This window comes from Homo sapiens, chromosome 4 (genome assembly GCF_000001405.40).
Source record: "Homo sapiens chromosome 4, GRCh38.p14 Primary Assembly".
NCBI lineage: Eukaryota > Metazoa > Chordata > Mammalia > Primates > Hominidae > Homo > Homo sapiens.
In genome coordinates this window covers 68,108,741-68,135,293 of record NC_000004.12, presented here as the reverse complement: position 1 = coordinate 68,135,293, position 26,553 = coordinate 68,108,741, and the positions used below count along the sequence as shown (strand labels likewise).

The window sequence follows — 26,553 nt, the reverse complement described above, 5'->3', positions numbered from 1 at the left end:
AGGATAAATCCCACTTTATGAATATGGGTGCTCCAGTGTTGGGCACATATATATTTAGAATTGCTAAATCCTCTCCCTGGATTTAGTGCTTTATCAGTTTCTCAGAGGTAGAGTGTGTTTCTTATAAGCAGTATATATTTGGGTCATGGTTTTTTATCTGTTGTCTGTATCTTTGAAAATTTAATTTATTTACATTCAAGGCTATCATTGATATGTCTGGTTTTGTTTATATCATAGTGTTGTTTTCAGGTTGTTTTATGTATTTTTTGTTCCTCTCTTTTTCTCCTATTGTCATTGTGGCTTGGTGGTTTTCTGTAGTGGTACCATTTTAGCTCTTTTTCTCTCTCATTTTTGTATTTGCTTTATCAGTGAGTGTTATATTCTCATGTGGGCTCGTGATAGTAAATGCCATCCTTTTGCTTACAGCTTTAGGGCTACCTTGAGCATTTCTTGTAGGAACAGCTAGTGGTGATGAATTCTCTCAGATTTTGCTTGTCTGGGAAAGACTATTTCTCCATTTATGAAGGATAATTTTGCTGGATATAGTATTTTTGGGTGGCAGGGTGTTTTTTTTTTTTTTTTTTTTTTTTTTTTTTTTTTTTTTTTTAACACTTTCAACATATCATCCCATTCTCTCCTGGCCTGTAAAGTTCCTGCTGAGAAATTCATTGTTAGTCTGATGGGAGTTCCTTTATAGGTGACTAGATACTTTTTTTTTTCTGCTGTTTTTAGATTTATCTATTTGACTTTAGACCTTTTGAGTATAATGTGTAATGCAGAAATCCTTTTTGCATTGTATCTGTTTGGTGATTTCAGCACCTCCTCTATTTCAGCTGTCTATATTTCTTGCTAGACTTGGGAAGTTTTCATCTATTATTTTGTTAAACAGGTTTTCAAACACTTTTGTTTTCTCTTCACCTTCTGGGACTCTGATAATTCAAATATTTTTTCATTTTATGGTGTCCCATAGGACACTAAGGCTTTGCTCATTCTTTTTTATTTTGTTCTTTATTTTTGTCTGTCTGGGATATTTCAAAAGACCTGTCTTCAAAGTCTGAGATTTTTCTGTTTGATCTAGTCTATTGCTGTTCTTCAGTCCCAAAATATGTCTGATTCTTTTTGTATGATATCTATCTCTTTGGTAAATTTCTCAGTCACATCCTGAATTGTTTTTCTGATTTCTTTGCATTACTTTTGGAATTTTCTTGTGACTTACTGAGCATTTTTAGAATCAAATTTATTTTGTGCCTGGGATTTCATGAATTATTTTTTAATTGGTATCCTTTGCTGGAGAATTGTTGTGTTCTTTTGAAGGTGTCATATTCTGATATGGTTTGGCTGTGTCCCCACCCACATCTCATCTTGAATTGTAGCTCCCACAATTCCCATGTGTTTTGGGAGGGACCTGGTGGGAGGTAATTGAATCATGGGAGCAGGTCTTTGCTTCTCCTTTGCCTTCTGCCATGATTGTGAGGCTTTCCCAGCCACGTGGAACTATGAGTCCATTAAACTTCTTTCCTTTATAAATTACCCAGTCTTGGGTATGTCTTTATTGCAGCATGAGAACAGACTAATACACATTCCCTTGCTTTTTCATGTTTTCTGTGGTCTAACATTGATATCTGCACATTGATGTAACAGTTGTTTCTTTGAATATCTTGAATTTGCTGTCATAGAGGGCACTTTTTCCTGAGGTTGAATCTATGGTGTTGATAACTCAGGCACTTTAGCCTTGATTATCGGTGTGTCCATTAGTGTAGTCTCCGTATGATTTATTTGGCTGTAAATATTGTCAGTGGTATCTGTTATTTTCTTGGTGGTTTAAAGTGATGTTATTAATGAAGCTGTGGTGCAGATATTTGGAGACTGGCACAGGTAGGCCAGTCTTTGGGCCCCAGTGGTGGCAATGGTGGGCTAAATGTACCTGTTCTTGGGCCCCACGGTGGCATACACTGGTACCATTGGTTCCAGGAAGGCTGATTTTGGGGCCTTTAGGTAGCTTACTTAGATGCTGATTGTTGCTACAGTGGGCTTGTCAAGTGGGCAGGTTCTTAGGCTTCTGTGCAGCTGATGTGATGTGGGTGATGGCAGTGGCAGGACAACCACTTAGGTCCTAGGCAGTGTGAACTGGTGTTGGTGGTGGCTGCAATGAACTGGATGAGTCAATCTCCAGGCCTGCAGGTGGTGCCTGCAGGTAGGTGTCAGCTATGGTGGTAGTGGCAGGTAGATAGGCTTAATCTCAGACTCTTGAGAAGAGTATTCAGGTGCCAACAGTATTGGGCTGGGTAATTCTCTGTTTTCCATACTGTGTGCTCTGGCATGTAGCAGGGTGTTGAATCCAGGTGGGGTGGGCTTGTTTTTTGGTTTGTGATTGTATAGGCTATGGTAGGCAATGCCAGGGCAATCCTTAGGCCATTGGGAGGATGCTCAAGTGAGGAGTGGCAGTGGATGTGCTGCTGTCCTGCCACTGGCAGAGGCAGTGCCACCTTCAGTGATAGCAGCCTATGCTGGTGGGTGGGAATCTGTGCACTACTTATGCCTTAGCCCCCACAGTGCCCACTCCTCAGGCCCTGCTGTGGTAGCTGGCACCTCACTTGCATCTTAGCCCTGTGTGCATTATGCCATGATTGCTTCTGCCTGTGCCACAGGGGCAACTGCTGCTGCTTCTCTTGTACCTCAGTCCCAGCACCACTGGGCTCTAGGACAGCGCATAGTTGTTTGGGGGTAGGGCTCTAAAATGGCACCTTGTGGTAGCTGCTTAGGTATCCAGGAATTTGTGGAATCCAGTTTGGGCTTCATCTTGGGGTACTGTTGTCACACAATCTCTCAGCAGCTCCCTATGTTAGTTTAAAGGCTTATAGGGTTGAGGGGCTGTGGCAAGGATTGCCAAAGTCCACGGTAGACATTTGGACCTCTGAGTGTCTCTCACCATTTCCCTGTATTGGGGAGTCTCTTGGCTCCTAGCCAGCAATGGCAGAGCAGGTCATCTTCACTCCCCTCTTCTTGCTTTTGGTATTCCCTGTTACTTTTCTGTTAAATTCTCATGTTTTTTGACCTATTCAAAGTGTGATTACTCACTAATTTTGGTACTTTTAGTGGAGGAGGCAAGTGGGAAGTGCTTCTAGTTATTCATCTTAATACCCTTCCTCCTATTTATCACAATTGAAGCAAAGAACTTGAGACAATGTATTGTTGAAAAGAGAGCCATATAGACAGAAGAGTTTAGAAAATACCACTTTTGAAGTCTATTGAGAACAATTAGCAATATAGTGCTAATCACAAAAAAAAGGGGTGAGAAAAAATAAAGTACCTAGCTGTGCTAAGGACATTAATATGGGACAGATACTATTTTAAGTCCTTTACATTTATTATCCCCTTTAAATTAGAGACAAATATTATCTCCATATTATAGAGGGAGGATCTGAGATGTAGAAAGGTTAAGAACATTCCTATTTTCACAAAGGTAATTCATGCCAGTGCCAGAAACTGAACCCAGTCATCTTATCTAGTAGCCTGGTATACTGTCACCCCACTGTGGTAAAGCTATTATGTCAGAGAAAAAAATGAGTTATTTTACGTAGTCACTGAAAGCTGAAGGAGGGGGAAAATAAAAACCAATAAACACAAACTTTAAAACTATTCAAATAAAAGATCATTTGAAAGAATGGCCAAACAGAAAATATTCCGATGGGAGACAATTAAATCTCTATTTTTGAGCCATTAAACATAAAACAGCTTCTACTGTAATCTCTAACTTTTTAAACATGGTTAAAGTAAATATTGCTGTATCTCCTAAGTTCCCCCCACCATGTCCTGTGATTCAATATGAAAACACTGATTTTCTTGAGAGAATAAATCTATACATACCACATGTTTTAATCCAGAATCCTCAAAGCTGGTTGCTGGACTTGCTTGTAATTACTTGGACATGTTTCTTGTAAAGCCTAATTTCCCTCAGTTAAGCCACAGAGCTTATTGTCTGCTGTATTATTATTTACTAATGTAAGAGGCTGAGAATATATTTATGAATTTTAACAAATAAGGATTATAAAATATTAGTTTATTATTAATGTGAAATGCTTAAATGTAAACATGAAAACCATTTAAAAAGAATATTTACACAATGTTAATTTCAAATTAGCACAAATACTACTACATATACTATATAAAAATGAAAATAATCAGTTATATTTATATACTAAACAAATATAATTTTTCTAGCACCTTTTTATTAGATTTTGGAATTTTTTACTTTTGAAAAAAAGTAATGCTCCAAAGATGAAAGTTACTTTTGCTAAATGAAGTTATAGTTTTCAGTGTGAACTGACTGGTAAATTTTATTAACTACTTATTTAGACATTTTTAGTTCTACTCAAAATTGTATTATCATATGTCTTCTGTCATATTGTTGGTGTTTATACAAACTGACAATCTGTTTCATTTTTTTCATTTGTCAAATGTTTTGGAAAATATAGTTCCTTTTAATACCTTTGCAGAGCATTATAATGAAAGTATTACAATTAGAGGCACATTGCATTTTTAGCATTTTAGATGAAGATATTCTGTACAACCAAAGTAAAAATTTATCATTTTTCTTTAATATCCTTTGACTCTGAGCCTTAATAGCTCTTAAAATTGTAATTTCTATTTTGTAACTTTTCTGATCTTTATAAGAAGTTCATGTATTTATACTAAATTCTCTATAGATATATGAAAGTATTTAAAGGGACGGTTTGTAAATACTGGGAATTCATACCACTAAGATGGACAAAGTTATTCCTAATAATAAGAAAGAAGAAAATACGTTTTTGCTTTTGATATTTACCTTCCTTTTCTGCCTTTTTTGGGGTAAATAAATTGTTTCAATACGTTCTATTATATTTAGAGCTAAAATGGACAGTATTAAGAAAAGCTAATACAGTCCTGCCATTTTCCTTAGGAGGAAAGTAAGTCCCAATAAGCTGAATAATGGCTGAGACAGGTGCCCTGGTTCATAACTCAGGTCTTCTCCACTCCGCTACCCCTTGTTATTCCCTCAAAGGGAAGAGACTGAACATTTCTAATGAACAAATAAGAAGTGCCATCAGTGTGCTCTAGTGTGTTTTGTTTTGTTGGTTTTTTTTTTTTTTTGGAAAGCAAACTGGGGCCACACCTCAATGCTTATCATACTTCCCCAACTGGAAAAGTGTGGTCTTCTGAATCATCACAAGTTGCACATTCTGAGCCCTCTACTACTTGGAGCTTCTCTATGCGGATATTGACAATTACTTCACTGTGTGGAGCCAGTTGGCACAAAACTGATCATGTTCTTGTTCTTATCAGGCTAGAAGACTGCATACCTCACTCACTAAACCTGTCAAACTTGTTTCCTTTCTTGTTGCCAGTGACTGTCATTATTTTGCAGCCTCCAAGTCCTAACCTGCTGATACAGATCAGATGGTGACTGAATAGAAGCTGCCCCAGTCCTGGGTTCATGATGTACGCGTAAGTATTCAGCTTTTCTCAGTAAAGGTTATCAGTGGGGACAGAGGTTTACAATTCCTGAGACAGGTAGTACAGATGTTGGCTGGTGGAGATTGATTTAAACATTAGAGTTTTAATGTGTGTTATTGTATTTTATATTAAAGTTTTATTGTTGTTGTTTTTAAATATCAGAATTTTTTTGAACAACAGAGGCCAATGTGGTGTTTTTTGTTTCTAAATAAAAGAAATAGAAATGATGTGAGGTAATAAGTTAACTATATTAATATTTAAAACATTTAGTAAAACCTACACTTCAAAGAATAAAGTGTTTAATATAGCCCATTTAGTTACTTTTCCATGTTCCATAGCATGGTATACATTTTTATCATATGTTGCTTATTGATGTATATTCTGGGAAAATTAAATATAAATTTAAGAGGAGAGTCTACTAGAATTTTTATTTAACTCTAATAGAAACTATGATAGGTTATTTTGTATATCATGAGTGAAATGATTAAAATTAAAATACTCATATGTAAAAAATTATCAAATTAACAAAATCTAGACTTTGTATCATCATAATTGAACTCCAAAATAATTGATCAATTGTTGAATTTAAGGTAAATAAATTTGTATTATATATTTATGTTTAGGTAATATTCAGGCTATTGTTTTATAGACTTCGAAAGGAATAATTGATATTTGATGGATGATTTCATTCAAACTTGTGCTAAGTCTAGCCTTGTTTCTTAAAAAGGTTCTCGATCTTTCTACAGACACAAATTTCCCACATGTTCTGCACTGACTGATGTTTCCAACTTAATCATGATTTTGTGATAATTTTAATTGTTCAGTCATTTGATTTTGTCTTCAATTAACCTAAATACTTAAAGCCTGTAGGCTCTGGCACTCTTAAATGATGAGTGTTCCTGCCCTCCCTAATTTACTTTCAAATGACAGCATAAGCCTAAGGAAGACTTCCATTTCATGCATAAATCTCCCATATAAACCCATCATGATAGCATGATATAGCATATTATCTGTACTTCTTACTAAATACAACAAAGTATATTTCTTATTTATCAAGATAAAGACAGAATAAGACAAAACGTACAGTAGAAAAAACTTTTATATTTAACTAACATTCATATAAATATAATATGCTAAAAATTTCTTTAAAAAATTAGAAAAATTTGGAGTTCTCTTATTCTAATTTATTTCAGAATTCTTCAGTAAGTGTTTTTTATCAGCCTGATTCTTCTCTTCCCAACTTACGGCATCATCTCCAAACACTCACTTTTCCACCCTGAAAATATCATTACAACATGAAATTTCTATATTGAAGCCTCGTCAGCTTTGATCCAGAGTTTATTAGAGTTCTGAGGATTTTTTGGTTTTATTATTAAGTTGACATATAATAATTCTACGTATTTATGGGGTACATAGCACTATTTCAGTACATGTAATATATAGTGATCAGATCAGAGTAATTAGCATATCCATCATCTCAAACATTTATTATTTGGAGGATTTAAAATATTCTTGCTAATTAGATTTCAAATCAGATCTGCTTTTAAAACAAATATTCTGTCAAAAAATATATCTTGTGTATAAAGATAAGAAGCTTAGACAGTGGATTTATTGAATTCATTAGTAAAGGTATTTTGCCCAAGGGATCTAGTCTCAAAGAATGAATTAGTCAGATAGACTATGGCCTCTTAGCAAAAGCCCTGTCTTTCTCATTTTGGTAAAGTAGAAAGAGTACCATCATTTAGATGTGTTCAAGATCCAACTTTGAACTCTTTTGTCTGGTACTTCTCAAGACCTCACTTTTATCTGTGAAATGTGGGGAAGGTTTATAAGTAAATGAATGAGGGGTGAGGTTGTTACCATTAATGGGCCTTGAAGTAATATTTGTGGATAGCTAAAAGCAATTTTTGGTTTATTGGTTTATTCTTTGGTTTATTTTGGTATTGTTCATTTGTTGTTGGTGTATTTAAATAGTAATAAAATAAGATTTGTATTAATTTTATTTTTTTCTGTATCTTAAGTATTAGTGTAAATATTGTATTATGGATATATGATTCAGATTCAGATTCATATATAGACAGTACACATACAAGTATGTGTACCAGGCCTTGATGTTGAACATTTCTAACCGTGGGTCATGGTCAAAAATATTTTTTAATACACTGGGTTAGATAGCCCTGAAGTCCTTTTGAATGCTTAATTCTATGATTTCAAAGAGTTAATAGCTAGTTAATATGGAGAACACATTAACATTCTTAAGGCACTAGAGAACTATTTAAAGTATCCCACATTGTAGGTTATTCAAGTTTTTTTCATGGGTCCCTGTATTTGGTGCCCTCTGCAAGTGAGGCAGAGATAAGAGAGATAGTTATCAACAAGTTGAGACCTTTGTGATGAGGCAAATCAATAAGCCACATTCTGATGGCACGTTGTGATCAATGCGAAAAAACAAATACTGACATGCTGCTACAGGGGTGCACATTCAATTTCATAAAAGCTTCTTTGAATACGTAATAACTGTGTTTAGTTTTTAAAAGCAAGCAGAATTAGTAGTAGGAGAAAGACGGTATTCTGGGTTGAGAGAACATAGCCCTTGCAAGAGTCATGAGACTTGAGATACACTCACAAATAGATGTTGGAAGTTGTCAGATAAAGCTGAAGTGATCATTCTGACTATGAAGGGCCTTTTGCACCAGGTTAAATTTCCATACTACATAATAAAAGTTGATTTAAGCAAGAGGAAAAAATGATAATGCAATTTAGAACCATTGGAGTGGACCAGTGCAGCTTGATGGTGCTACTGTCACTTTTTGCAGAACTAAATGAAGGGCGTGGCAGAGAGAGACTGCCTACGTATTTGTTGTTTCGTCTGCCTACAATGGATGTTCCTCCTGACATTTAGTGAGACCCCATGGTCTTCCTTCAAGATATAACAAAGTTACTGTGAAATTTTTCTCCTACCTTCACATCTTAATTGTTCCTGAAGTACAGCCGTCCTCTCTTCAAACATATGTAACACATTGTGTATACTTCTATTGGCACTCTTCTATTTGTATGCTAATTTGTTTTCATTTATATTTCTCTGCTCAGAGAGCTCCCTCCCTTTATTGCTAGTGCCAAACACATTGCCTGTCACATTGCAGACTCTCAACATTTGTACATTGACTTATGATTTCATATGGCTAAAACCAAAGAACAGATACTGAGAAAAGAGGAAAGGTTAGGAGTAAATGAAAATTTCAAGTTTTACCGTTTATTATGTATCTATGTATGCACATATCTTACATATCTTCTCAAAGAAGGCCTGTGAGATATTTGAGATTCAGTAATTCAGAAAGTAAGTAAAAAGCTGAAAACTAGAGACTGTACTTTAAGTAAACTTAAGTTGTGGTGCTGATGGAGATTTATTGTTGAAGAGATAAAAACATCAGATAGATGCTTATAGACTAGATTTTAAAGTTTCATTTATTCATTAGTACAACAAATACTTAATTTAGCTTATAGTATACTAGTAGCACATTATACACATATGTATATATCTACATATATTCTATGTAGACATATGTGTTTGTATATATCCTGTGTGTATATACACATATCAGATGCATATAAACAAATACACACATACACACATATATGAATAAAACAAACAGAATCCTTACTTTTATGGTGTTTATAACACCATAGGAGGAAGAGGAGGAAACGTGATAAATAATTAAGCAAATATATATGAATTATGACTTTGATAAGTATGAAGTAAACATTTTGTACTTTTTCCAAAAAATGTTGCTAATTCACTTTATTTCTTTAATGGCTAGCTTTTTAAAAAGTAGATCTCCAGTTTATATGATAACATTTTACTGCCTATTTTTGTTTATCTGCAGGAAAATGAAGGCTAAATTTCTGAAATGCATTTTGAAAAACATTAAATACTGGCATAGCTTCCCATTGCACTTAAAGAAGTCTTGGGAAGATCTAAGCAGGACCTCTTAACACTATAAAACAAATGTAGGAAGACAGCATGGAAACCAGTATCTTGACCAAGAAGATAAGTCTGTGTTGCTTTAAGCAGGTATTTGCAGTAGTCTTTAAAAAAGGATATTGTGTCTTTGGAGTGTGTGATTGGGTGTGTTAGGGTAGTGAATGAATATTTAGGGACAAATAGCAAGAAAGTTTTTATACCCTTGGATCGTACAAGCATTATAAGGGTTCATTATTTATTATGAAGCACAGTCAACTTAGCATTTCAGGAACATTCATATTCAAAATCCAGGTTCAAAACTCAATTCAAACTCATATCAGAGATGTTTGCATTTACTATTTCAGATTCTGTGTATTATATTTTCTTCCAGTATCATATATGACTAAACTTTGACTCTTAACTAATTTTCTGTAGTTGGCCATTATTTAAAATGTATTATTAACTTGTCTTTATTTTTTTTGCAAAATTTAGAAAATTTTATAAATGATTGATTACTGCTCAAAATTTGAATGTAGAGTATTTTGAAGAATTCAACAATTTATATAGCATTATTATCAGGTGATGGGAGCAGCCCACATATTCAGTACTTTATATAAAATAAAAATAATTTAAAATATAACATAAAAATATACAGTATAATCTACAAGTGGGAACCATATGAAATTGCCCTGTTTGTAAGTTAAAAAAACCATTGAATACAGGCAATTTCATATGGTTCAAGTTTATGAAGTCTTTTCCTGGTCTTGTTTTATTTTTTGTAGAATATAATATATGGAATGACCAATGCAGCATTCCCAATGCATGATTCTCAAAACTAAGCATCAAGGATTGAAAAGTCTTTTGTACTATGTAAAAAAAAAAAAAAAAAAAAAATGCTGGTTTAGATACTTAGAATGTCAAACTACTTTGAAGACACATTCCAACAGGTAAGATAAGATAAAAGCAAGTTGGCAAGCATTCACTTCTGAAAATAGAAAAACAAAACAAAACAACTCAGTGCGAAACGGAGTGTAGGGTGTGTCTAGATACTATTGTAAACAAAAAGAAAAAAACAAAATCTAGTTAATCGTTTGATCTACAAGGTGCCAAACAACAGCCTTAACTCTTATATCTACTACTCTTATGCCCACTGACAGATTGTTGTATTTGCTTTGCACTGCTTCTTTTTATAATTAGGCAAATAAACCTGAACAGGCAGAAGGACCCCAAATGAATGAGGCCTTTAGTGCAATACATTGATGTCAAATAACAAAAGAATCAATGAATCAATAAAAACTAAAATAACCTACAGCTTCATCTTTTTCTTTAAGGCTGAAGTTTCCGCTTGGTCGCCCGGGTTTTGCTCTGTCATGATCGCTGCTCACTGCAACCTCTGCCTCCCAGGCTCAAACGATAATTCTCCAGTTCTCCCACCTCAGCCTCCAGAGTAGCTGGGACCACAGGCGCACCCCAACGCACAGCTAAATTTTTGTATTTTTGGTAGAGACGGGGTTTTCTTGAGCTCCTGAGCTCAAAAGTGCTGGGATTATAGGTGCGAGGCACCATGCCCTTGGCCCCTACAGCTTTATCTTGATAAAGGTTTGTTTTTTTTTTTTTTTAAGACAGAGTCTCACTCTGTCGCCCAGGCTGGAGTGCAGTGGTGCAATCTCGGCTCATTGCAACCTCCGCCACTCGGGTTCAAGTGATTCTCCTGCTTTAGACTCCCGAGTAGCTGGGATTACAGGCGTGCACCACCGCACCTGGCTAATTTTTGTATTTTTAGTAGAGATGGGGTTTCGCCATATTGGCCAGGCTGGTTTCAAACTCCTGGCCTCAGGGGATCTACCTGCCTCCGCCTCCCAGAGTGCTAGGATTACAGGCATGAGCCACCGTGCCCGACCTTGATAAAGGTTTTTAAAAATAGATTAAATATAAGTTATTTGTGATGCTCCTATCTTTAACACTGAATTCATTATTTCAGTCATATGTATAGACTTGAATAGATTGTAGAGGCTTGTCTTGTTAAGGATTGGGTTTGCCATATTAGCATAGACACCACCTTGAAACCACGTCAGCAGTATCATCTATCTCTCCTCTCTAGCAAATCAGTGGGACATTTCCTGTCCCATTGTGGCCCTACTGCCTACCTTCCCCTCCCTTTTATCATTCATTTTCCATAATCGTCTTGCTTTGTGGTGGTTAGTAGGCCCAGATTATACTTTAATTTCCAATCTCAAACTTCAGTTGCTTTGGATGGTACTTGGCCATGATTTCTGCTAGGTAAAGGAAAGATCAATTTATTTTGTTTCATAGCTTGTATATCATATCACTTTAAAAAATATTAACTCATGGGATATTGTGGTTGGGCTCTTCGGATATTATCAGGTAAAAATGGTTGAGACGAGTACCTTCACTTTTTCACAGAATGAGCAGAATCTTTTTCAGTAAAGTTAACTCAAGGAATGTGTCCTCTTTAGATGACATAGACTTAGATTTCTTGACGTTCATGATTTATTCTTTTTGGGCAACTAATTCTTGCTTAGGACTGCTCTTGTGTTCTTTACTTTTTGATCTAATAAGAGCAGCAAGAATTTAGTCAGTGTACTACTTCTTCAAAACTGCCAAAACCATTAATTTCTTCTCATTTTAATTCATTTAGCTGCTTAGCTACCATATTTCTCCTACTGACAGCAGCTTTTAGAAGAATGTGAAACATTACTTATAACGAAACTGTGGCAACAGAAGATAATGGATTATTAGCTGCTCTCTTCTTTTGTATTGTGGGGATTTATTTACTCTGACTCTCTTAGAGCATTATCTGGAAATTTGGATGGCTAAGATAGACTTGCAGTTCATTATCAAGGAACATAGTAAAGGCAACTGTGACTATGTTCTTACCTCACTTCCCAACTTGAATAAACTGAAGTAGGTATTATTTCTGATAATGGTAAGTCGGAGTTCAGACTAAAGCGTCATTCTAACATTCCCTCAAAAACATTTTTTAAAGTGTATTAGGAATTCAGGCAGCATTAATGTGCATATGTCTAAACTAATAAAAATAAAGTGTTCTATATTCGTGATTGCCTTTCTGGAAGTAATTTAATAAATGTCAAGTAAGATGAAGTTTTTCATTCAACAGGCATGTATTAGGAGTTGTTCTAGATAGATGCCTGATAGTGGTTTATCTGCTTGAATTATGTGTTATCTATGCATTAGAATAAATGACATAAACATTACTTAGGATGGAATCTACCTATTAGAATTGCATGTTCTTTGATTCATATGCTAATGTTGAGAAAACTATTGTTTCATTTATAATGTTTAACTGCATAGGAGACAATACATGAAAGCTAGATTCCAAATCCCTCGGTATACTTAATGAAATATTGGTATTATCATTCATACAGCTATGAAATAAGCTTTTTTCCTGGCTGTAATTATTTTTCAGAATTTTATCTGTAGCCAGATACAGTACTATAATAAATTAATGGATTTTCATGCAAATAGAGAAGTAAATTTCTATTGATCCACTTATCAAAATAAAAGTAGGGTCTATCAGAATATGAAATTCAATAATAGAATTTTAGGTATTTTTACACAAAGTTTAATACTTACATTGTTTTAACTATACACACAGTTTGTAAGGTATTTTTCTTTTAAAGCTCAACAGTTAAAATGTAATTATTCTATGTTATCCTATACTATATGGTATATCTTTTTAAACATCTTGAGAATTAGGTGATTTTATTATAACAATTAATTAGGTCTTAATGAATCACTTAATACATACTCAAATATTCAAAAATAAAAAAAGTGGTTATTTAAAAATTATAAATCTTAAGAAATAGCATTTGGGTTGTTTTTTGAGTTGATTGGGCAATGATAAGGCCACTTGGCATTAGAAGGGAGCATTCCAAGAATGAGAAGCTCTCAAAGGTCTTCATATGCAGCACTGTAACATACCGATTAACTCTTTCACACATGGCCCTTTAGAAATGTGACAGGCAGATTCTGGGACATGTTAATTTTGTTTATTTAATATGCAGATTATATTAGCTGTGAACATTGTTGATCACATCTCTCTAGGACAATTATATCTTCATCATAGCTCCTCCCCCTGAACTGGATTGCAAAATACCACTGAAATACAAATATTTAAATCAATCATACAGGAAGCTAAGTGAAGAACATTGGCTGCTTATTGAAAACAACTGTGTTTTAAAATTTATTTTTATGTATTTAGTTACTTATTTTGTCAGAAACTGCACAACCATAGCACATTCTGTTTAGCCTCCATGTTATATATATATAAAATAAAATAGAACTGGTGTTTATTATAAATTCAAATGTATTACAATTAATATAACTTTGAATAGGAGACAAAATATTGAATTATTTCTAGGAATAGCATACCAAAAATATTCAACATCTACAAGTAATATAACATATTTTTCAGAAGAGAGTGTACTGGACACTTTATGAATTCTTTTTCAGTCACTATTTTAATTCTGTTTTTGTCTCCTTAGGTGTTTTCGCATACTCAGTCACAAGTAACAGAATTTGATTCCTTAAGAAACATTTTATGGGCTGTTAGATGTGGGTGGTTAAAATTATTTTGGTTGAAACAATTGAACTTGAGTTTTAAAAAACAGAATTAATTGAGAGGCCATTGAGACATCTCATAGAACTAAAAAAAGAATAGACCTAAGAAGTATGGATCCAGCCAACTGGGTGGGTCATATAGAAGGGGAGGTGAGACTTAATACATGCACACCCTGAAGATATTGCAGGTTCTATTCCAGACCACTGCAATAAAGTGAATATCACAATAGTGAGTGCCACAAATTTTTTATATTTCCCAGTGCATGTAAAAGTTATGTTTACACTATACTGTGGTCTATTAAATGTGCAAAAACATATCTAAGAGAGGCACATACCTTAATGAAAAATACTCTATTGATGAAAAAATGCTAACAATCATTGGAAACTTCAGTGAGTCATAATCTTTATGCTGGTGAGGGTCTTGCCTTAATATTCATGGCTGCTAACTGATCATGGTGGTGATTGCTGAAAGCTGATGTGCTGTGACAATTTCTTAAAATAAGACAATGAAGCTTGTTTCATAAATTGACTCTTTCAATAAAGATTTCTCGGCCGGGCGCGGTGGCTCACGCCTGTAATCCCAGCACTTTGGGAGGCCGAGGCGGGCGGATCACGAGGTCAGGAGATCGAGACCATCCCGGCTAAAACGGTGAAACCCCGTCTCTACTAAAAATACAAAAAATTAGCCGGGCGTAGTGGCGGGCGCCTGTAGTCCCAGCTACTTGGGAGGCTGAGGCAGGAGAATGGCGTGAACCCGGGAGGCGGAGCTTGCAGTGAGCCGAGATCCCGCCACTGCACTCCAGCCTGGGCGACAGAGCGAGACTCCGTCTCAAAAAAAAAAAAAAAAAAAAAAAAAAAAAAGATTTCTCTGTAGCATGTGATGCTGTTTGATAGCATTTTACTCAGAGCAGAACTTTTTTCAAAGTTGGAGTCAGTCCTCTGAAACTCTGCCACTGCTTTATCAACTAAGCATATGTATTATTCCAAATCCTTTCTTTTCATATCAACAGTGTTGATATGAAAACATTTCACCAGGAATAGTTTCTATCTCAAAAAACCACTTTCTTTTTTGATCCATAAGAAGCAACTCTTCATCTGTTCAAGTTTTATCATGAGATTGCAGCATTTGAGTCATGTCTTCAGGTTCCACTTCTAAATCTAGTTATCTTGCTTTTTCCATTACATCTGCAGTTACTTCCTCCACTAAAGTTTTGAACCCCTCAAAATTATCCATGAGAGTTGGAATCAACTTCTTCCAAATTCCTGTTAATTTTGATATTTTGACCTTCCCTCCATAAATCACAGATGTTCTTAGTGGTATCTAGAATGGTAAATCCTTTCCAGAAGGCTTTCAGTTACTACTATGAGAGGTATAGCCTTATCAATGTATGTCTTAAATAACAGTACTTGAAAGTCATAATTTCTCCTTGATCCGTGGACTGCAGAATAGACTCCCATTAGCAGGCTTGAAAACAACATTGATCTCCTTCAGAGCTCTGGGGTGACCCGATATGCATTGTCTATGAGCAGTAATATTTTGAAAGGAATCTCTTTTTTTGGAGCAATAAGTCTCAACGGTGGACTTAAAATATTTGGTAAACCATGCTGTAAACAGATGTGCTGTCATCAGGCTTTGTTCTTCTATCTATAGAGCACAGGCAAAGTGGATTTAGCATAATTCTTAAGGGCCCTAGAATTTTTGGAATGGAAAGGAGCATCGGCTTCAACCTCAAGTCACCAACTGTATTAGCTCCTAACAAGAGGGTCAGCCAGTATTTGAAGCTAGGCATTGACTTGTCCTCTCTAGCTATGAAAGTTGCCTATATTGAAAATCTGTTATTTAGTTTACCCACCTTTATCAGGGATCTTAAGTAATCTTCTGGATAACTTGCTGAAGCTTCTACATCAACACTTGCTGCTTTGCCTTGCACTCTTATGTTATGAAAATGGTTTCTTTCCTTAAATCTCATGAACTAACTTCTGCTTGCTTCAGAATTTTTCTGTGCAGCTTCCTCACCTCTCTCAGCTTTTATAGAATAAAAGAATTAAAGAGAGTTAGGGCCTTGCTTTGGATTAGGCTATGGCCTTAACACATGTTGTGTGTGGCTGGTTTGATCTTCTATCCAGCCCACAAAACTTACTCCGTATCAGCAATAAATCTGTTCTACTTTCTTATCATTTGTTTATTCACTGGAATAACACTTTTAATTTACTCAAAGAACTTTTTCTTTGCATAACTTGGCTGTTTGGTACAAGAGGCCTAGCTTTCAGCCTGTCTTACCTTTCAACATGACTTTTTCATTAAGCTTAATTATTTCTAGCTTTTGATTTAAAATGTGAGACATGCAACTCATTCTTTTGCTTTCACCCTAATTAGATGATCCTTCAGGTCTTCATTTAAATGTTCTCAGAGGAACCTTCCCTGACCCCTTACTCTAGATAAGATTTCCTTGTTGTAGACATATAAGAGCACCTTTCATTTTTGTTACCATTTTTTATTATGTTAATTGTTTACATATAAATTTTTTAATATTTGTATTTCCCCCTAGCCTATAAACTCCTTGAGTATGTATGGTTAACCATTTCACCTTCAGCCAGCAAAAATTTTCAATAAGTATTTTATGAATGAATTAAGAAATCTCAGAATTACTTACCAAGCTTATGACTAAAGACCTGTTATCAAAGAATTGCTAGAAATATATTGTAATTAGTATATCAAGCATATGTAATGGGTGCTTTAAATTGCATAAAATATACAGGAAGTTTCTCTCTTTGGTGAGTTATAGTATTTTTTTAAAAATGTTTTTGTATACGTGTAATACAAAAGTCCTTGTTTGAACTATCCAAAATTGTGTTATAATACAGTTTGAATTAAAACCTTTCTTGAAGTTTCACATAAAAAGCCTTCCATATTTTTGGAAGATTCTTGAGGCTATGGGAATTAATGTTTAAGTATGTGTATTCATTTGGGTGTTTTCAATTGTGATTAATTAAAACTTCAGCCTCACACTGGTTGGTGTTAACAATATGAAAAATTATTATTTAATATAATAGTAATATCAAAAGCTGGGCTGTTCTCAGTGGCATTTGATCCAGCCCCTCAAATGTGTGATATGAGACCCTGGTTATTTCTGTCTTTCTACTTTGGTATTCTTTGTGAGTCCACATTGTCCTCAGGTTAGTTTCTCTTACAGCTTGCTTCTCATAGAGTTGTAGCAGTCTCAGGTGTCACATTGGGACACAACAATATTCAGAGAAAACAATAAGGAGTTATCTCTCAGTTTGACTTATTTTAGAAGAAAAGAAGTATTTCTCAACAATTTCCCAACTATCTCTCACATATCACTGGCCAGAGTTGGACTGCATGTCCATTTTTGAATAGCCCTTAGCCACAGAGATGGAAGTATCATGATTGAGACTAACTACCTGGGTGTGAAATATTTGTAGGAATGTGTTTTAAGGGGTTTTTGCTGAAGTATCAATGGTAATTAATAGCTATTTTTATAATTCAGTGAATTGACAGTTGAGAACTTGGAGCCAACCCTAGCCCAAAGGATTTCTCAGTGGAGACACCCAACTTTCTATTCAACCTAACAACCATCCTAACAGATGTGAGGTGATATCTCATTGTTGTTTTGACTTGCATTTTCCTGATAATTAGGAATGTTGTTCACCGTCTCATAAACCTGTTGTCCATTTGTGTGTCTTCTTTGATGGAATGTCTATTCAGGTCATTTGTCCATTTTTTTTTTTTTTTTTTTTTTTTTTTTGAGACAGAGTCTCGCTCTGTCACCCAGGCTGGAGTGCGGTGGCCGGATCTCGGCTTACTGCAGGCTCTGCCACCCAGGGTTCACTCCATTCTCCTGCCTCAGCCCCCCGAGCAGCTGGGACTACAGGCACCTGCCACCTCACCCAGCTAATTTTCTGTATTTTTAGTAGAGACGGGGTTTCACCGTGTTAGCCTGGATGGTCTCGATCTCCTGACCTCGTGATCCGCCCCCCTCGGCCTCCCAAAGTGCTGAGATTACAAGCGTGAGCCACCGCGCCTGGCCAATTTGTCCATTTTTAAACTAGATTATTTGGTCTTTTGCTATTGAGTTGTAGGAGTTCCTTATAAACTTTGGATATTAACTTTTTATCAAATACATGGCTTGCAAATATTTTCTCTCATTTGGTAGACCGCCTTTTAATTTGTTAATTGATTCCTTGACTGTGCAGAAGCGTTTTAGTTTGATGTAATCCCCTTGTCTGTTTTTGCTTTTGCTGCCTTTGCTTTTGGTGTCATGTCATATCCAATAAATCATTGCCAAGTCTAATATCTAGAAGCTTGGTCCCTATGTTTTCTTCTAAGAGTTTTAATGTTTCAGTTTTATATTTAAATTTTCAATCCATTTCAAGTTGATTTTTATGAAAGGTGTGAAATAGGGCCCAATTTTATTCTTCTGCATGTGGATGTTTAGTTTCCCTAATACTCTTTATTGAGGACACTATCTTTTATACATTGTGTATTCTTGGTACCCTTGTCAAATATCAGTTGGCATAGATGCATGAGTTTATTTCTGGGCTCTCTCTTCTGTTGCATTGGTCTATATGTCTGATTTTATGCCAATGCCATATTGTTTTGATTACTATGGCTTTGTAGTATACTATGAAATCAGGGAGTGTGGTACCTCTAGCATTGTTGTTCTTGCTCAAAATTGCTTTGCCTTTTTGGGGTCTTGTGTGAGTCCAGATGAATTTTAGGATTTTTTTTTTATTTCTGTGAAAAATGCCATTGAGATTTTGACAGGATTGCATTGAACCTGTAGATTGCTTTGGGTAGTATGGGCATTTTAACAATATTCATCTTTTCAGTCTATGAACATGGAATGTCCTTCCATTTATCTGTGCATTTTTTAATGTTTAACTTCATTTCAAACTGCCAAACCAGTTTCTAAAGTGGAGGTACCATTTTGCATTCCCAACACCAATGTATGAATATTCTAGTTATTTTCCCTTGGGAAAAAAACAAAAACTGTTGCCATTCTAATACGTGTATATTTCCTATCTACAAAATATTTTCTACTTTAAGGTAAGAAATATTTTCTACTTCAAGGTCAAAAATATTTTCTTCTGTATTTTCTAAGTTTTATAATTGTAAGGGTTTTTTTTTTGAGAAAGAAAGAAACAATTCTAGAGTTGATATTTAAAAGCAAATGACCTAGAAAAGCCAAAATAATTTTGAAAAACAATAAAAAGCTGAAGGACTCACATTTTGTGATTGATAGTTTATTCTTGCTGAAAATATACAGTTAAACTTGGAAAGAATTGTCAAATTAGCAAGATTAACTTTTCTAATTAAGCATAATATATCTCTCTCAATTTTTAAGGTTTTATTTGATTTTTCATAAATGCTTTAAAATTTTTTCCATTTAAATATTTTACAAATTTTGTTAGATTCACAGATAATTATTTCATAGTTTTCAGTGCTATTGTATATGTTACTGCTTTTACAATTTCAGTACCTATTTGTTAAATGCTTGTATATGGAAATAGTTTGATTTTTATGTATGACCTTTCACTCTGTGATTTTTGTAAACTTACGTATTAGTCTTTTCATGGCAGATTCTCAAGGATTTTCTTTATAGTATATTAATAAAAGCACTTTATTCCTTGCCATCTTGTGTGTTTTATATTTCTTTTTCTTGCTTTATTGCAGTGGCTAAGACTTCCAATACAAATAGGAGTGATAAGAGCAGACATCCTTGCTCCATTCCGAGCTTCAAAAGAAAGCATTCAGTCTCACCATTGCATATATTAGCTATAGGATTTCCTTAGAAGAGCTTTATATGCTTGAGAAACTTTTCTTCTTCTTCTTTTTTTTTTTTTTTTTTTTTTTTTTGAGATGGTGTCTTGCTCTGTTGCCCAGGCTGGAGTGCAGTGGTGCGATCTCGGCTTGCTGCCAGCTCCGCCTCCTGGGTTCACACCATTCTCCTGCCTCAGCCTCCTGAGTAGCTGGGACTACAGGCGCCCGCCATCACACCCAGCTAATTTTTCTTTTTTTGTATTTTTTAGTAAAGACGAGGTTTCACCGTATTAGCCAGGATGGTCTCGATCTCCTGACCTCATGATCTGCCCGCATCGGCCTCCCAAAGTGCTGGGATTACAGGCGTGAGCCACTGCGCCCGGCCGGGAAACTTTTCTTCTATCCCTAGCTTGTTGAAAGCTTTCTTCTTGTTCTTCTTCTTTTTTTTTTTTTTTTTTTTTTAAATAATGAATTAAGGTTAAGTTTTTTTCAGATGCTTTCTCTGAATATATTGAGATGATCACATAGGAGTGTTTTTGTTTCTGTTTTGTTTTTTGGTCTGTAAATACTATGAGTTATACTGATTGGTTTTCAAATTTTGAACTAACTTTGTAGTTCTAAGATAAATCTCACTTGTTTTTATATAATATTGGTTTTAGGCACTCTTGAATTCCATTTTTTAAAGATTTTTACTTCTTGTTTAGAGGGGCTTTCATCTGATTTTTTTTTTTCCAGTTCCCTTTGGGAAACTCTAACTTGTCCGATTTTTAAAAATAATGTCTTTGGTTTTGTTATCAGAATATGCTGGATTCATTAAAAAAATTGGAAGCATTTCCTTTTTTTCTATTTTCTGGCAGAATCTGTTGTTTTCTGGCAGAATCTGTTTAAATTGATGTTATTATTTTTAGGTATGTACTATTCAGACATCTGTGTCTTCCTGAATGAGCTTTGAAAGTTTTTGTATTTCAAAAAGATTTATCCATTTTATCTACATGAGCAAATTTATTGGCATAATGTTATTCATAGCATTTATTTATCATTCTTTTATGTTTAATAGGTCTATGGTAATATCTTTCTCCTCATTCCTAGTGTTGCAAATTTGTGCCTTCTTTTTTTCTAAATAATTCTATATATCTTTATAATGAACTGACTTGTTTCTATTGACTTTTCTACTGTTTTCAATTTCATCAGTTTCTTTATTATTTCCTTTTTTCTGCTTTTATTTGGTTTAATTTACTCTGCTTTTTCCCAGTGTCTTAAGGTAGGGTTGATTATTGTTTTCTTGTTTTCTTATTTTCTAATTAAGAATTTAAATCTATAAATTTTCCCCAATCATTGCCTTGTGTGCATCTCCCAAATTTTTTATGTTTTCATTTAAAACAAAATATTTTTTAAGTTTTTTTGTACTTCTTTTTAATTCCTAAGTCATTTAGAAGCTTGTTGTTTAATTTTATAATATTTGGGGATTTTCCAGATATCTTTCTGTTATTAACTTGTGGTTCAATTCTTTTAAAATCGAAGAACATACTTTATAAGATTTATTTTTTTAAATTTGTTGAGGTGTGTTTATGAACCAAATTGTGCTCTTTTTTTATTAGTTTTGTATATGCAGTGGAAGATAATGTGTATTATGCTGTTGTTGGGTGGAGTGTTCTATAAATGTCAACTAGGTCAAGATGGTTGATAATATTGCTAATAGATACTATTTGCTTATCAATTTTTGTCTACTTTATCAGTTACTGAGAGAAGAGTGTTGATGTCTTAAACTATAATGTGGATTTGTGTACTTCTCTTCATTATAACAGTATTTGCTTCGAGTACTTTGCAACTCTGTGGTTAGTTGCATACACATTTACGGATCGTTTTAACATTTGTTATGTTGATGAATTGACCCTTTTATAATGACATATCATCTTTCTTTAGTTCTTGGCAAAACCCTTGATTTAAAGTTGATTTTGTGTGATATTAATACAGACATACTTCTTTTTGTTGTGATTCACTTTACTGCACTTCACGGATATTGCATTTTTTTTTTTTTACATTTTTCATTTTACAGTAGGCCGTCAAGAAAAGCCAAGCCATATCTTCAGCAATTCACATAGATATTTCCCTGGCCAATATCCAATTTTGTCACTCAGGTTCTACCTTCCACAGAACACTAGGACACAAAAACAATTCAGCCAAATTCTTTGCCATTTTATTACAAGAATAGCCTTTTCTCCATTGTCCAATAACACGTTTCTCATTTCTGAGACCTCACCAGAATCACCCTTTATGGTGTGATTTAATTTCTCTATAATCAAAGAACATACTTTATAAGATTTAATTTGTTTTAATTTGTTGAGTCATGTTTATGAAACAGATTGTGCTCTTTTTTGATGAATTTTGCATATGCAGTGTAAGGGAATGTGTATTATGTTGTTGGGTGGAGTGTTCTATAAATGTCAACTAGGTCAATATTTGTATAATATTAGAAAAATAAATATTTCAGAATTTTACTTTCTATGGAGCAAATTTTGTAGAGGGAAGATTTATTAATATTTTTAATCACATATTTAGGAACTCTGGAAGAGATATAGAGAAGAATGCTATAGATTCTGCCCTTTAGGAAATTATAAACTAAGAGAAGGTATAATTATTAGCATAAAAGAATATTAAATGAGGTAGATTATAGTGTCTACATACTCAATAATGTTTATTAAACACTACTAAGGCTCAGGTACTGTGCTAGACACTGGAGTTACGGCAATGAGCAAAATAGGTACTATTCATACTCTGTGGAGTTTACTGTCTAGCTGGGTAAAAATGATATTAGAATCAATACAAATAATAACATTTGATTATTTATTGATATATTATTAGTAGTATTTTTTAGAGGCAGGAGTCTCACTACATAGGCTGTACTGTAACTCCTGGGCTCAATCAAATTATATTTTTATTATTAATTTAAGGTTGGAAAAATATAGGGCACCATGGGAACATAAGCTTAGCAGAGAGAGCACAACAAATAACATAAAAATATTAGCCCCAAATAGGTTTGGCATTAATAAAATGATGTCACTTTTAACTAGGGATTCAGAAAAGGTCCATGGAGATGTAACATTTAAGCTGGATCTTGAAGGGTGAATAGGATTTGAGTGTAGGGAAGTAGGAAAAAAACAGTGCCGATGGGGCCCACAGCTTGAGCACGATCAGTTAAGTGTGGGGGCATGTTCAAAGGCTCAAAGACAGTTCAGTAGGGAAGCTAGACTCACTGAACTTGAAACGTCAATGAAAATAATAAATGCTTGACTGAAAAGGTATGAGTTCATGCTATGGAGTGTGTGCTTGATTCAGTAGACAGTAGGTAGAAGAAGACATTTGAGCAGAAGAGACAGTATCAAAGGCTTTCCAAAATATCTCAAATTACAGAGTGTCTGATGGATTGCTGCGGAGAAATGTGGAAATAGGAAGAAAGGCTAAGACTCCATTGTGATAATTAAGTAAGTACATAATGAGATAGAACTTAACCCAAATCATTGGTTTTAGTTATCTATGGGTTAAATATCAAAGGAAGATTTATAGAGTACAGAAATAATTGAGAATTGGGAATCATAGTTCTGAGTCCAAATCTTGGTTCCAATACTTGTCAAATTTACCTTGCCTAAATTAGTCTCTCTAAGCCTTAACTAATCATTAAATGAGGCTATTAAATAACTACTAAAAAGAATTGGGTAAATTTGAGGTAAAATGTATCAACTGTCCACCACCATGCTGGCAGAAAAATATTGCAAAGGAGAAATAACACAAATTTCATTTCCTCCTCAAGATGGCATTTGGGGAGTTTCATTGAAATAATTATAGTTTCAAGTTGATGAAGAATAATAATTATAATAGTTTCCTTTTATAGCCTATTACCTGTCAGACATTGTGCTAAGCACTTAATTTATATTGTCCCTAAACCTCACTACAGTCCAGAAATTTAGGGCCATTATCACCATTTTTCAGATGAAGAAACTGAAGGGTATAGAGAGCATATACAGTTAGTAAGTGGTAAAATCAGCTGCTGTCTACAAGTATTGGGCCATCTGTTTCATGTTTTTTTGTTTTGTTTTATTTTGTTTTTAATACAGTAGGCAAAGATGTCTGAGTTGCCGTAGGAATAGTCAAAAGTTTTGGAAAGACCATGTTTATTAAGAGATTCAGTGCATGAGAAAGAATCATTTTGGAAATATAAAACTGAGATGGGTGAAGATTGTGAAAGCAGATGTATAAGCTCCAACTGGGAAAAGTAGACTAGACAAGTCATATAAAAAAGGGACTATACCTATGTTTTGGGGGAACAGTACTGAGATTTAGTTATGTTACATCATCATGCTTAATGCCATATGGAATTTGTATAAAAACAGTCTCTAATTGGTGGACTTCAGCCTAAATAAGGCATAAAAGAAAATGAGATTGAAATTTATGATGGCCTTGTTTATTTTGAAAGGACTTAGTACTATGGTTTTGAAGAATGGTTAAAGAGTTGTACTGTCCATTTCCATCATTGGACTCCTGCTATAGCCATTTTATTTTTAAAGACAAGAAAGTTAAATAAGAAAGCAGAAAAACATTTCACTAAAGTGAGAACAAAAATAAAGTGGTCATACTGAAGAGGAACAAAGACATTTGGATTTGATTATTCCTAGGCATTCAGTGTTTTAAAATAAAAATCAGTAAGCAGATAGCATTTTAATAATAGCAATAATGTTTATAGCACTTTGACATGTTAAATATATTATCTCATTTTATTTTCGCAAGAAATATATCAAGTAGATACTGTTATACCCATTTTGCAGATGAAAAAACTGAGGTAAAAAAGGTTCAGTATCTTGCCTACAATCATACTGCTCACAAATGTCAGAGTTGGAACTTAAAATAGAACAGCTGGACTACAGAATCTGGGCTTCTAACTAGTATGTTATACTATCTCTCAACTTAAATCTCTCAAAACAAACTTTATGCCTTTTAATTGCCTATAGAGCAGATCATAATTAAAGACAGTCCAGTTTTGGTGATTTACTTTTACTCTGCCACATATCCATGGCTAAACACTGGGGAGGAAGAGGTCTGAGTCTGTGGATTTTGCTGAGGTTCACAGTTTCCTTTGTGCATCTAAAATAGCATTTAAAATGAATATTGTATTTGTTCTCCATTGCTGCTTCTCACCATTAACATGTGAGTCTCATTCTGTGTATCTGTGTGTATATGTGTGTAGTAAGGAAGGTCATTAACCTTAGTTAACCCATGCCATTAAGAAGATGTTATTAACCACAAGTATTCCCAGAAATGAAGGCTTTTTGGCAAGAAGTAGAGAGGACTGTGCCCAAACGGAATATCTAATGTGTATCTATGCTTCAGGTTGAATACAAATATGTTAAGACATATGTAAGACATAAAAAGAATTTCCCCCCAAGGCTACTGCTGTGAGAATACTTGATTAGCACATAAATATTTATGCTGCACATAGAAGAGTGTACTGCATTTAATTTAATGTTTTGTTGTTTACATTTCTTTAGTACCAAGTATAATCAAATATTTAAATCTTCATCTTGATGTCATCAATTATCTCATGAATTCACTTCACCAACTTCAAATTAATTGCCCAGTGTTTTCTTGTTTTAATGATGTTAAAAACAAACACAGAAATAAACCCAATGGAGGGTCATGTGGGATGATCATAAAGATCTGAATAATACTGGTCATATGTTATTAAAGGATGTTTATATAGTCCTGACAAATAACTTCTCTTTTGTACTTAAACCCTTGGCCAACTCATCCTTCTTTCCTTTGTGTTACTAAGTTGAACTAATATATAAACTTATTCAACATAAACTATTGGCTCTTTATTTCAAATTTTGAGACACATTATTTAGGTGGTTGATTTAAAACAAAGCTAAACATTAAATTCTGAATGAAAGAAGCAGACTTATAAAATTTTTAGGGATCTGTACTTTCATCGTTATATCCACCTGGTGTATAATTCCTATTCATATTTCTTAATTTATAAAAGATATGTGGCAAATGCTTTCTCAGCATGACCCTAATTTTTCACCAAGGCAATAAGAGAATTTAACCCTGTGGTTTGGCCAAACAGTGGGAGGAGCTGTAAATGTATAAGTGATTTTATTTCTGTTACTGGAGTACCGGCCGGGTACTCCAGTACTGGTACTGGAGTACTGGACCTTCTTTTGTTCACTAGAGAATACCCAGCACCTAGAATAGCGTTAGGTTACATAGTAGGTGCTCAATTAGAACTTGTTGACTGTATTAGATGTGACATATGGATTTTATCCATTTTGAATGTTCCTAAGAAAATATAGTTAGTGTAGGAGATGCAAACTTTGGGAATGCATGCCTAAAAACCATCATCAGACTAAGCAAAGGTGAGGGGAGCTTTCTCAGGAAGTTAGAAGGAAAGGTTTTAAGAATAGGCTAGACAACATTATGGTAGTGTTCTGATAAAGTGGATGTTAGTATTGGTGATTGAAGTGGATTAATTGTAAGTTAACTGTAAATTCTGTGATTCTGTCAGGTCCTGGGTAAAATAAAAAAGGAATCCTTCAAATCCCTACCCCCATACTTACAAATACATTTGTACTACAGCTAGTCTCAGAGGAAGCCTGTCCCTTTATCAAAGACTAACTTCTCTACATCACAGCCTTTTCTACCTCTTCTGAAGCAATAATCT

General features: G+C 34.4%; 1 protein-coding gene across 2 annotated transcripts in view, besides 1 other annotated feature; it reads left to right on the top strand.

The window, feature by feature from the left end:
* Positions 1 to 5,424: 5,424 nt before the first annotated feature.
* The window catches only part of TMPRSS11F (transmembrane serine protease 11F), a 76,672-nt gene continuing 55,543 nt past the window's right edge, over positions 5,425 to 26,553 (top strand). For both annotated transcript variants that reach the window (NM_207407.2, XM_011531935.2), the window contains exon 1: positions 5,425 to 5,484. In NM_207407.2, coding sequence (NP_997290.2) covers positions 5,474 to 5,484 — 11 coding nt within the window. In that variant the 5' untranslated portion in view covers positions 5,425 to 5,473. The remainder of the gene's footprint in view (positions 5,485 to 26,553) is intronic.
* Positions 21,416 to 21,917: an enhancer, noted in NCBI's record as "NANOG hESC enhancer chr4:68979095-68979596 (GRCh37/hg19 assembly coordinates)". NCBI's record gives its function as "activates a minimal SCP1, AML or CMV promoter by ChIP-STARR-seq in naive H9 embryonic stem cells {active_cell/tissue: H9 hESC(naive)}" and the evidence as "EXISTENCE:reporter gene assay evidence [ECO:0000049][PMID:30033119]".